The 12,420-nt window shown below is 42.6% G+C and overlaps 1 protein-coding gene across 18 annotated transcripts in view, besides 2 other annotated features; it reads right to left on the bottom strand.

Moving 5' to 3' along the window:
• The window catches only part of DLG3 (discs large MAGUK scaffold protein 3), a 60,656-nt gene that overhangs the window by 26,041 nt on the left and 22,195 nt on the right, over window positions 1-12,420 (bottom strand). For 16 of the 18 annotated variants that reach the window (XM_006724625.3, XM_011530883.2, XM_006724626.3 and 13 more), the window contains one exon: window positions 186-300. In XM_006724625.3, the coding sequence (XP_006724688.1) occupies window positions 186-300 (115 nt within the window). Of the gene's footprint in view, window positions 1-185; window positions 301-1,817; window positions 5,563-5,713; window positions 5,833-12,420 lie in introns of those variants that run through there. The other 2 variants (XM_047441883.1, XM_017029325.3) reach the window with 2 other exon arrangements.
• Window positions 1,457-2,355: an enhancer, noted in NCBI's record as "NANOG-H3K27ac hESC enhancer chrX:69696945-69697843 (GRCh37/hg19 assembly coordinates)". NCBI's record gives its function as "activates a minimal SCP1, AML or CMV promoter by ChIP-STARR-seq in primed H9 embryonic stem cells {active_cell/tissue: H9 hESC(primed)}" and the evidence as "EXISTENCE:reporter gene assay evidence [ECO:0000049][PMID:30033119]".
• Window positions 3,881-4,000: a silencer, noted in NCBI's record as "silent region_20893". NCBI's record gives its function as "represses an Ori minimal core promoter by ATAC-STARR-seq in GM12878 lymphoblastoid cells {active_cell/tissue: GM12878}" and the evidence as "EXISTENCE:reporter gene assay evidence [ECO:0000049][PMID:35858748]".

The raw sequence follows: 12,420 nt of genomic DNA, 5'->3' as shown, positions 1-12,420 counted from the left end.
GAAGCCAGCTCACAAAAGGGAGGAGACACTGACCATAAAATACACAACCTAAGCATACAGTGAGAAGCGTTATTTTAGAACTGGGAGTACATACTCCCTAGCCCACTAGTTAAATAAGAAGGGCTGGGTTGGCATGGAGCTCTCCTCGTCCAGCACAAGGGCTAGTGCTCTGAAGGGCAACTTACCTGACATACAAGGACCTCTTTTCACTTGTTCGGAGGGACCCAGACCCAGAGCTCATGCTGCTGTTCATCATTTGTTCTCGTAAGTCATGTATCTTCGATTCAAAGCGACTGTATTCTGTCACGGAAACAAGGGAAAAGATGGGAAAAGAATGAACTCAAGGAGCGCCTCTGAGCTTGCATGCCAGCAGCCAAAAAGCCAGAAGGCCCCTTGGCTTAAAAGCAGCCAGAGCCAGCCCACTCAGTCTTTGCTTTGATAAGCAAAGTCCCTCCTCCTAAGCACAGAAAGACAGACTTCCCTTCAACCCCAGACTAACAGAAGGAAAGAATGCACCTGAAAAGGGAGTAGCATTTGGGCAGGTCAAATGCACAAAGCTCTTATCTGCCTCAAAATGTCACTGATCCTTTATAAAAATAACAACTGGAAAGAGGTTCCAGTGCAACCTTTATAAATCTTTAGAGCTGACACTAAGGCCCAAGGAGAGCAGATGGGAAAGGAGACTTTCCCAAAAAGCGGATTGCAGAGAACAGATGGCCCTGAGACGCAGAGCGGAGGGGCTGGAAAGGACCTGAGGTCAATTATATCATTGTTAGGCAAGAAGACAATTTTTTCAGGATGACTTTTTGGCTGGGGTGAAGGGGGGTGATATTGGAACCCAGTACAGAGGTAAAAACAAACAAACCTCACAACCGTAACAACCATATGAGGAGAATTAAAGCTCTCCTGAGTTATTTCCCTTTTAACCAATAGCCTCTTTGGCTTCAGTAGCATACATTAAAACATAAATTCTCCCAAACCGAGAAGTCGGCTGACACCTCTCACCTCCAAAATCATCCAGTCAGTGAGGTCATAAGTCCATCCCTAACCTTATAGCCCATTGAGACCATCACAACAGCTGGAAACAGCCTTATCACTCTGGAAATGTAATACAGGTTTATGCCGAATTTAAGAAAACCTGATACAAGAAAATTAACTCTAGCTGTACAATTATTATAAAAGGCTTTTTATAGGGCTGCTTTGCTGTGACATTCTCCTAGGACATTTAAAATACAATATTCACACTTACCAAACACACAATTACACATTTTCCAGGCCTATAATTGCCGCATAAAATGGGGTATATCTAAGGCCACAGGCCGTGGAAATGCTAGAAAACAGGCACACTTCACTATGACAAGCTGACTTTGAAGCGAGTCAAAATTTATACTAGGGGTTGAAGGTTGGGAAACTGCTTTAAAAAACAAACACACTTCCAGGGGAAAAAATTCCACAAAAGCAATTTCGTGCACCATAGAGGGCTGGCAAGAAGCATCCCCACCTAGTCCGTATGACTCTACAGGAGAAAACAAAACACCTGTTCCAGCACCTGACACTCCCCTTCCCTCTGCAAAGCAACCAGACTGACCTTCAACTGGGTGTAAGGGGAATTGCTAAAGCCTAAAGGGGAAGGAATGGAGTGAGGCAAATAACCTCCTCTCAACAAAGTTTCTTTTGTTCACTGTGATATCAGTTTAACCAACGGGTTAAATTCGTGTGCTCTTTCATTCATCACACGCCGGTGTTATGGTGATTTGTCCTCATTACCTACTCCTGTTCCTGAAATCCTGGAGGAAGCAGTTAAGTCACTGACTCACCCATTAAACGTTGCGGGGGGTGGGGTGGCGGAGGGTAGAGAGACAACAGCTGGACAATGTTCCTGTTCTGAGGGTTACACGGCAAGCCATCAATATCAATGAGGTGCCCCAACCTAAGCCCTGGACTGTCCTAGAGCATAACAGCAGGCCAGTCTACCTCTGGAGACCGCCTGGGTGCTGGCCCCACCCCAGGGCTTGGCCCTCTACACTGGGTGGGGATTGTTTCTCATTTGTTCCTTTCTGGCCCTCCTCTGAGCTCACCGGCTATGGGCAGAACCGTGTGAGACAAAGATTTCTGACCAGGCAGCCCTTTCTTAGGGGAAGATAAGTCAAAGAGAGAAAGAACTATGCATTGAACTGTGAACAAAAAAGTACACCCAATCTATCTTTAAGCCATGTTTTCCCCTTCTTGAAACTTGTTTATATATTCCCTTCTTTGGAATCGACTTGCCCGCTGAACTCCAACTTAGCAGCAGGTCATGGCAGTTGCTTAGTAACTACATTTCTTTAAAAATCCTTTAAAAAACAACCACGAAACCACCATTTCCTCAAAGCTCCTAATCCAAGGCTGATAATTCTGGGCCAGAGGGCCCACTTAAAATAGACTACAGAAAGAGAACAAAGCTATTGCTCTAAGGCATACGCTTTTTGTTTTTACATGTGCTGCTAAAATTTCAAGTTTATTAAATTGTGTTTTATTCACTTTTTTTTCCATTTGGATGATTCCCTTAGAGTTCCAGCTGCCCATCAGTCTCTGGCTTTTATTTGTAGATTTATCTAAAGTCTACTAGGCAGAGCAGCCTTTGAATAAATGATTGTTGGGTAAATGAGGAGCAAATTAGAAAACTGTGTCCAAGTTGACACTTCTATTCTTAAACTAATAAACTTAATGGTTTATTTAACTGATGGCTGCCAGCTTCACTGAGGGCTTAGAAAGGTGGTTAAGAAGCATTCACATTTACTTTTGTTCCCAAGGTTAATTGTTGGGAGCAATTGGGGTTTATTATTTTTAAACACCCTTTTGAGATGTTAACAACCCACAATAGGCGGCTGATTAACAACTTTTTACAACAAAGAAAAATCATTCTAACAAAAAACTGTTTAGAATAGACTTAGATACTACCTCATCTTAAATATTAGAGGTATCATTTTCCCAGGACAAAAGCTTCCCTTAAAAAGCATCTCAATTCTAAGACTTCAGGACTCGCCAAGCTCCCTCCTTCCCTCTGATTTGTCACTAACACAGCCATCGCAGCCAATGCTGGAGGACATCTCCTAGGCCAAAGTCACCGCCTAGGAAGCCCACCTGACCAGCCTCTAACCCAGAGGGCCCACTTCAAAGAAGCAACACTAAAATCTCAAGTCTACTAAACTGCTTTGTTTTTTCCCATTCAGATGAACCCAACTGTTTGTGACCCACAAAGATATCCAGTCATCGCCCTCTTTCCTTTTTCCCAGTTGCTAATCACAGAGAAACAAGTGGGAGGGGGCACAATCAGAAGTCAGTACCGAAGAAGGGTTTTGCCCCAGTCACTGACAAGTTGGGGTGCCTCTAAAAGATCAGGATTTGGCACCCCATCCCAGATACACAGAATCAGAATCTACTGAGCAGGGGCCCAGGAATCTGCATTTTAACAAGCATCAGTGTGATTCTGATAAAGTTTGGAGCTGCTGGTCTTAACTTACAGAATTGGATCCTGCAGTGTCTCTGAAAAGAAAGGTGGGGCCAGAGAGTGGATAAGCTCTCAAAAATAAAACTTGGTAATACAATTGCAAATCCTTCAGGAAAGGAAAGCCCTAAAGATGCCACAGTCTTATGTGCCTGCAAAGAAAGCTGCTGAGTTTACACTTTTTAAAAATTCTGTATCACTTCTCCATCCCACTCCCCAGAAGATACCACTGTTGGTATTTTTAGTATGTGTCCTTCCAGACTTACTTCCATGCATATATGGCTTATATACATGTACTCACAATTCACACGCAAGCTTTTTTCATTTTCTGATACATCATGAAAACTCATCCATGTTGGCCAGGCATGGTGACTCATCTGAGGTCAGGAGTTCAAGACCAGTGTGGCCAACATGGTGAAACCCCGTCTCTACAAAAATCAGCCAGGTGTGGTGGCCACACGCCTGTAGTCCCAGCTACTAGTGAGGCTGAGGCAGGAGAATCGCTTGAACCTGGGAGGCGAGGGTTGCAGTGAGCCGAGATCGCGCCACTGCACTCCAGCCTGGGTGACAGAGCAAGACTCTGTCTCAAACAAACAAACAAACAAAAAATCATCCATGTCAGTACACAGACTTCATTTTAATAGCTGCATAGGATTCCATACTATGGACAGACCATAATTTATTCAGTCATATTTCAATTGATACACATTTAAGTTGTTTACAATTCTTAATATTACAATCAATGCTGCATTGTGTATTTGTGGGTTTTTTTTTGTTTTTTATATTTTATTTTTTGTAGAGATGGGGGTCTCACTATGTTGCCAGGCTGGTCTCGAACTCCTGACCTCAAGGAATCCACCTGCCTCAGCCTCCCAAAGTGCTAGGATTACAGGCATGAGCCACCATGCCCGGCCTGCACTGTATATTTGTTTGAGCATTTCTGTTGCATAGATTCCTAGAAGTGAAACTGCAGGGTCAAATTATATGCAAATTAAAATTTTTGATTAGCACTACCAAATTGAACCCCAACATCCTGAAACCTTTCTGACTAAGGATAAACTACTATTCCACTCTTCCAGCACTTTTTCTGTTTCTGAAGTGGAGGCAGAATTTACCTTTGAGGACAAATTGATCTTTTGTTTGGAGAAAAACAGTTTAATGAGCCTTTTGGTTATGCAAAAGTAAAGATTTTATTCTGGAATGGACAAAGAGGAGCTAAAATGTTGTCTGCATTATAATAGAAAAGGTGTCCTCTTGGTGAGTGGAGTTGCTGGTTCTCCAGGTTAGGCCTTAGTCCACAGGTCTTTCTCTCCCTCTTTCCCTGGCCCTGTTTAACCATGAGTTAAGACGCTGTTCCACCTACATGACACTATATCTACCTCTATAAGTATCTACCTAATTTGACTACATTAAATCTGCCCCCAACTTGAAAACCAAGCCTTTTTTTTCCTCATGCCAAACCCCCATTACTGTAAACGACACCCCCTTTTCCCTGCATACAACCAGTGTTTCCTCAAATTTTGCTGATGTTTCTTCCTAATTGCTTCCTCAATCTATTTCTTTATACTTTTAATTGTCATTGCCGTACTGTTGATTTCGTGTCTTAATTTTCCCTTGACTATTTTATTATCTCTTCTCTGGGCCACTGCTGTACCTCCCTAACTGGTCTTCTGCCCCAAGGCTTTACAAACTCAATCCAGATTAGATTCTTATTTGAAAAGCTTTCCTAAAGCTTGAATTTGTAGCCCCCCTGTCCAAGTATCTATAACGACTCAATGAGCACTAAAGAATTTTACTTTTACTATGTCAGCCAAACTTTCAAGGACTGCTACAACCATCCTCCCATCACAGCCAGCCTATCTATCCCACATCTGAATTACACAGGTCTTCTTTTGAGCTAGCTTGCCTGGACCCCTTGAATACAGCTTGTTCAGTTCTACCTGTTATTCCCTGCTCCTGAAACATTTCTCCCCTGCCTGACACTGAACAACCTTTACATCCTTCACCATCTTTCCTACCTCATTCCAAGAAGTTTTATTCATTCATTTATTTATTCAAATATTTTCTAAGTTTGGGCACAGTGACTCACACCTGTAATCCCAATGCTTTGGGAGGCCGAGGTAGAAGTATTGCTTGAAACCAGGAGTTCAAGACCAGCCTGGGCAATATAATGAGACCCCAATTCTACAAAAAATTCAAAAATTAACTGGGCATGGTGGTGCACACCTATAGTCCTAGCTACTCGAGAGGCTGAGGTAGAAGGATCACTTGAGGTCAGGAGTTTGAGGCTGCAGTGAGCTATGATCACACCTCTGGACTCCAGCCTAGGTGACAGAGTGAGATGCTGTCTCTAAAAATAAAAAAAAATAAAAAAAAATTACTGAATGTCTACTGTGTATCAGGCATTGTGCTAGCTGCTGAGAATATAATGGTAATCAAAATGGTCCCTAGAAATTACAATTACAAAACAAACAATTATTTAATTACAATTGTGATAACTGTGATGAAGAAAATGCTAAGAGAGAGACTAATAGGGTGACTTAACCTACCTGTGGGAAGGGGGTGGAGTTCAACAAAGGTTTCCCTGAGGAAGTGACATTTAAGCTGAGTCCAGGGAAAGGGCGCTGGTGAAGAAAGCATTCCAGACAGAAGGAACAGCATTATGTAAGGGTACAAAATGTATGGAACACAGGAAAGCAAGGGGATACTGGCAGGAGATCAGACTAAGAGGTAAGCAGGGGTCAGATCATACAAGGCCTTGTAAACTATGGTAAGGTTATTTGCTTTTTTTTTTTTTTTTTTTTTGAGACGGAGTTTCGCTCTTGTCACCCAGGCTGGAGTGCAATGGCATGATCTCAGCTCACTGCAACCTCCACCTCCTAGGTTCAAGCGATTCTCCTGCCTCAGCCTCCTGAGTAGCTGGGATTACAGGCGCCTGCCACCACTCCCAGCTAATATTTGTATTTTTAGTAGAGACAGGGTTTCACCATGTTGGCCAAGCTGGTCTTGAACTCTTGACCTCAGGTGATCTGCCCACCTCGGCCTCCCAAAGTGCTGGGATTGCAGGTGTGAGCCACTGCGCCCGGACAGGTTATTTGCTTTTATCCTAAGATAAATTCTTTCTCAATGGAAAGAAGCCATTGAATGATTTTAAGGAACGGAAGGACATGATCAGATATGTGTGTCACTTTGGCTACTGTGGAGAGAATAAGTGAAGTGTCTTATATCTACATTTAAGTTTCTTGACAGACGAAGCACATGCTTTCTATGTTTGTGTATTCTCCACAGCCCCTAGTATAAGAAGCCCCTGCTCTTACAGCATCCAAACCAGCTAGCCCTTCAGCCTCTGCTCAAACATGTCCAATACTGGGAAGCTCTCTAATTCTTTTTTTTTCTTTTTCTTTTCTGAGACAGGAGTCTCGTTCTGTCACCCAGGCTGGAGTGCAGTGGTGTGATCTCGGCTCACTGCAAGCTCCGCCTCCCAGGTTCAAGGAATTCTTGTGCCTCAGCATCCGGAGTAGCTGGGATTACAGGTGCCCGCCACCACATCCAACTAATTTTTTTGTATTTTTAGTAGAGACGGGGTTTCACCATGTTGGCCAGGCTAGTCTCAAACTCCTGGCCTCAAGTGATCCACCCACCTCGGCCTCCCAAAGTGTTGGGATTATAGGCGTGAGCCACTGCACCCAGCCGAGAAAATTTTTTGGTTTAGCGCCATCCCTTCTGCCAGCTGGTCCTAATTTTCATGTCTAAAACAGCATAAAACATGATGGGTTCTTTCCTTCAAAACAGTGTGAAGGAATAGTTTAAAGAAGGTCAAAGAGTTGGAAAAGACTGGAACAAGACTACTGAATAAAATGGGAGTAGATGGCAGAGTGCAAACAGGGGAAGGGGAAGTAATGGTAGGTTGCAGGCCAGATTATAAGTGCTTGAGATAGCACTTCTCTTACTAGGCAATGGGAACTGCGTTTAAGTGTTTAAACAGGAAAGTAACACAATTAGAACTAGGTTTGAGGGAAAATTATTCTGGGAGTGTAAGACAGAATTGGAGGACAGAGAGAGAGAGATAACAGAGACCGGGAAGCTGCTCTACTACTACAGACAATAATTATAAAGGCCTGACATAGTATAAGGGCAATGAAGACAGAAAGAAGAGACAGGAATCAAGAAATATGTTGGATCCTTCAAAAGTGGAGAAAGACAAAAAAGAAATATATTGGGGCTTGAAGGGAGAAAATTTGACATCTGATTGGATGTAGAGTGAGAAAGGATCAAAGGCAAAGAATCTGAGTTTTTTCCTTGGAGACATGGAAAAGGTGGGATAATATCAGCCATAATGAAGAATGATCTCAAGAATGTCCTCAAAAAGTTATGTCTTAGCCGAGATGGGCGGATCACGAGGTCAGGAGATTGAGATCATCCTGGCTAACACAGTGAAACCCCGTCTCTACTGAAAATACAAAAAATTAGCCGGGCGTGGTGGCGGGCGCCTGTAGTCCCAGCTTCTCAGGAGGCTGAGGCAGGAGAACGGTGTGAACCCAGGAGGCGGAGCTTGCAGTGAGCCGAGATCGCACCACTGCACTCCAGCCTGTGCAACAGAGGGAGACTCCGTCTCAAAAAAAAAAAAAAAAGTTATGTCTTCTCCAGGCTAAATGTTGTTATTTCCTTAACCATTCTTCATCCAACATAGTTTCCTAACCCTCCACTACCTCACCCTTTTAAAATCTAGTGCTCAGAATTAGTGGTGATGTCATTTACTAAAATATAAGCTCCTTGATGTGGTTTTTGCTTCCTTCTCAAGGTTTAGTGTGGCGATCTGCACCCCTGTTGAGTCAACATTTATTGAATGTGCCAACTGGATATAGAGGTCTGACAGGACAAACCTGGACTCTGTGATTCTCAAATTTTGGCTCCTCAGGAACAAATGTAAAAAAAAAAAGGAATACAAACTTTCTCCTTTCACCCACCCAAACATGCTAAAAACTGACCAACAAAACCACGAACCACTTCTGCAAAACACTAACATGTCAGAGGTTTCAAGACATAGTTAACAGCCCAATAAGGCATCAAAGGGGACTGAAACTACAAGTTCCCTATTGCGAACTGGACACACACCCAGGCTTCCAAGTCCGTCTCTCCTCTAAGCCTCTGCTTCCAAATCCATCTACCTGCCTAATGACAGGAAAATTGTCAAAAATTAAAGATGACATTTTTTATTAATTTGGAAAGCTGAGAGGTGCTCAGTTTCTCAACCTGTATTGTTTATTTGGTTCTATTTGATTATAGGCAGGAAAATATTGTAGAGACAGGAAACAAGTGGTAGCAACAGACGATATTTATTCTGCATATAGTACAGACTACCAATGACTCGAATGAAGATATAAAAGGGAAAAGCTACAAAATAACATCCTGCCTATCAAATTTAGAAATGACGCTGGGTGCAGTGGCTCACTCCTATAATTCCAGCAATTTGGGAGGCCGAGGTGGGCGGACCACTGGAGATGAGGAGTTTGAGACCAGCCTGGCCAACATGGTGAAACCCTGTCTCTACTAAAAATACAAAAATTAGCCAGGCGTGGTGGTGCACACCTATAATCTCTGCTACTCAGGAGGCTGAGGCACGAGAATCGCTTGAACCCAGGAGGCAGAGAGGTTGCAGTGAGCTGAGATCACACCACTGCACTCCAGCCTGGGCAACAGAGCAAGACTCCATCTCAAAAAAAAAAAATTAGAAATGACGATGACACTGGGGAAGCAACTGGATGACAGACTTCAAACACACAGATTATGATAGGTAGAAAGAATCAGAAGATGCAAATAAAAATAAAGTGAAATAGAGAACTGTATCTTCTTGACCTTGAGTTCCCACACAAATATTGAGTAGGGAAGACATGGCTGAATAATGGCTCGTGTTTTAGTTGCCTATAACCTCAAAATAAATCAACTGCTGCCCAAAAAGTTCTTTCCATCTTATGGAAGTGCAGACATTCAAATCTCAAACTCATACAGCCCTCATTTGCCATTGCTGAGCTGCCCTGAGGCTCAAAGAAATAAGTCACCAATTGTGAAAAATAACAGAACTCTGGTGGAAGTGAAGTTACAGCCTCAGAGAGAGTCACAGAATTTGAGGAGTATGAATTGTGGTTTAGGTTCCTATATTTGCCTTTGGAGTATAAACCTTCACACTATGGTTCATATTTTAAAAAGAAATGGATGGGCTGGCGCGGTGGCTCACGCCTGTAATCCCAGCACTTTGGGAGGCTGAGCCAGGTGGATTGCTTGAGGTCAGGAGTTCGAGACCAGCCTGGCCAACATGGTGAAACCCCATCTCTACTAAAAAAAAATACAAAAAATTAGCCAGGCATAGTGGTGGGCTCCTGTAATGCCAGCTACTCAGGAGGCTGAGACATGAGAATCACTTGAACCTGGGAGGGGGAGGTTGCAGTGAGCCGAGACTACACCACTGCACTCCATCCTGGGTGACAGAGTGAGACACCATCTTAAAAAAAAAAAAAAGAAAGAAATGGATGGAGGTGAAAGTAAAATAAGCCCATTAAGAAGATACTTGTTAGTATGGAGTAAGTATATGAATTGCCAAATATCAGAACATTTCTAGGAATCACAAACTTGTCTTTATAAAATAGTTATGGGGCCAGATGCAGTGGCTCACACTTGTAATCATAACATTTTGGGAGGCCAAGGTGTGAGGATTGCTTGAGGCCAGGATTTTGAGGCCAACCTGCACAACATATTGAGACCCTGTCTTTGCAAAAAAAATAAGAGAATTAGTCAGGCGTGGTGGTGTACGCCTGTAGTCCCAACTACTCAGGAGGCTGAAGCAGGAGGATCGCTTGAGCCCAGGGGTTCAAGGCTACAGGGAGCTATGATCACACCACTGCACTCCAGCCTGGGTGTCAGAGTAACACCTTGTCTGAAAATAATAATAATGAAGCCTATTACTTGGGTTAGTTTCTAATGATGGGTCCATTGTTTAGAGGTGTTGTCTAACACCTCTAAAACTAGATAATTTCTAAGATCCCTTCTAATTATGACATCATTATGATTTTATGACCAAATCAATGAGGTCCATACGGAATCAAAGTTAGAACTAGTCTGATTTAATTTTTAAATATAATTTAGAGAGGGAAATCTTCAAATCTGCAAATAATTCTAAACTCTTTGGGTAAAAACAATACCAAATCAATAAACATAAATTACCAAAAATATTTCTCAAGGCTATGTGAGAGGGCAGAAATATGGCAAATAGGCTTCAATGGGCAAATATTGCTTGAGGAAAAATAATTTCAGTTCTACTTTTAGAATAATTTTGGAACTATGACTAACCCAGAAAGCTGGGTGTCCTTATTCTGGTCCCTGCACTGTCACTGTGTATGCTTCCTCGGCCATACACACACATAGCCAGGGTTCTGGATACCATCCTGAAGGATACTGAGAAGAAAACAGAAAACAAAACATGCCGGATCAGCATGCCATAAAAATTTCCAGTTTATCCCTATTGACTGGATGTTTTTGTCCCCCAAAGAGCTTAGTGAGGATGCAAGAAGAGCTACTGAGTGAAAATGCTATACTAGGCCAGGTGCCGCGTGGCTCACTCCTGTAATCCCAGCACTTTGGGAGGCCGAAGCGGGCGGATCACCGGAGGTCAGGAGTTTGAGACCAGTCTGGCCAACATGGTGAAAACCCATCTCTACTAGAAATACAAAAATTAGTTGGGCATGGTGGCGGGCACCTGTAATCCCAGCTACTCAGGAGGCTGAAGCACAAGAATCGCTTGAACTCAGGAGGCAGAGGTTGCAGTGAGCCGAGATCGCGCCGCTGCACTCCAGCCTGGGCGACAGAGTGAGACTCCATCTCATAAACAAAAATGAAACAAACAAACAAAAAAAAATCTACCTGGTCTAAAATGACTGGAATGAAAAATGCCTTGATCTCACATCAAACTAAGAAAAAGTATTCACAGGATCTTGCCTTCTCACCTATTCCGGATCACCCAGCAGCTCAGGGTAAAAGCCTCAATAGGGCCTTCTCTATATCTTAAAGCAATTTCATATAGCATATTCAAATGAAAGATTAACAGAGTCTTTGGCTCTTGCAACCCATAAGCCAAAGTATACATAAAGACCACCAAAACAAAATACCTCATCCAAAAAACATGAGAATAAAGACAGATTTGTACCTTTTCCCTGTTCTCCAGGTGGTGGGTACACTTGATAAGAAGAATCTTTTCCACTTAACAGAGATACTATAACACAGTAACTAAAACACACACATTTTATGATGAAGTTTGACAACTTGAGTTAATGTAACCAATTTCTATGTTTTACCAGGTCAATGGAGAGTCTCGATTCAAATGTTCTTCACAGTTGTCACACCCACAGGATCACAAACTCAACTGAATCTCCTTTAGGTCAAGTTTCTGTGGAAGAAACTCAGAAAATGGGACCTGGAGAAATACTCTTCTCATCTAAGTTGTCAAAACACCTATGGTCATTTTTCAGTAACTGATAATCCAAAAGTAAAATATTAAAGTCCAAATCGTGTGTGTGTGTGTATAAAAGAATTTTATTTATAATAAAGGTGGTACTTCAAAAATGCAGAGAAATGATGGATTATCTAACAAATGGTACTGAGGTAATTCATTAACATTTGGAAGAAATTAAGTTAGTACCCTACTTTACATCACAAATCAACTCCAGGCAAGTTAAGGTTTTAAACACAAAAACAGGCCAGGCACAGTGGCTCTTGGCTGTAATCCCAGTGCTTTGAGATGCCAAGGCAGGAAAATCACTTGAGGCCAGGAATTTGAGAGAGCAGCCTGGGCAACACAGTGAGACCCCATCTCTACAAAAAAACCACAAAAATTAGCCATGCTTGGTAGCATGTGCCTGTGGTCCTTAGCTACTTGGGAAGCT

Source organism: Homo sapiens, chromosome X (genome assembly GCF_000001405.40).
Source record: "Homo sapiens chromosome X, GRCh38.p14 Primary Assembly".
NCBI lineage: Eukaryota > Metazoa > Chordata > Mammalia > Primates > Hominidae > Homo > Homo sapiens.
This window is presented reverse-complemented; position numbering and strand designations above follow the sequence as displayed.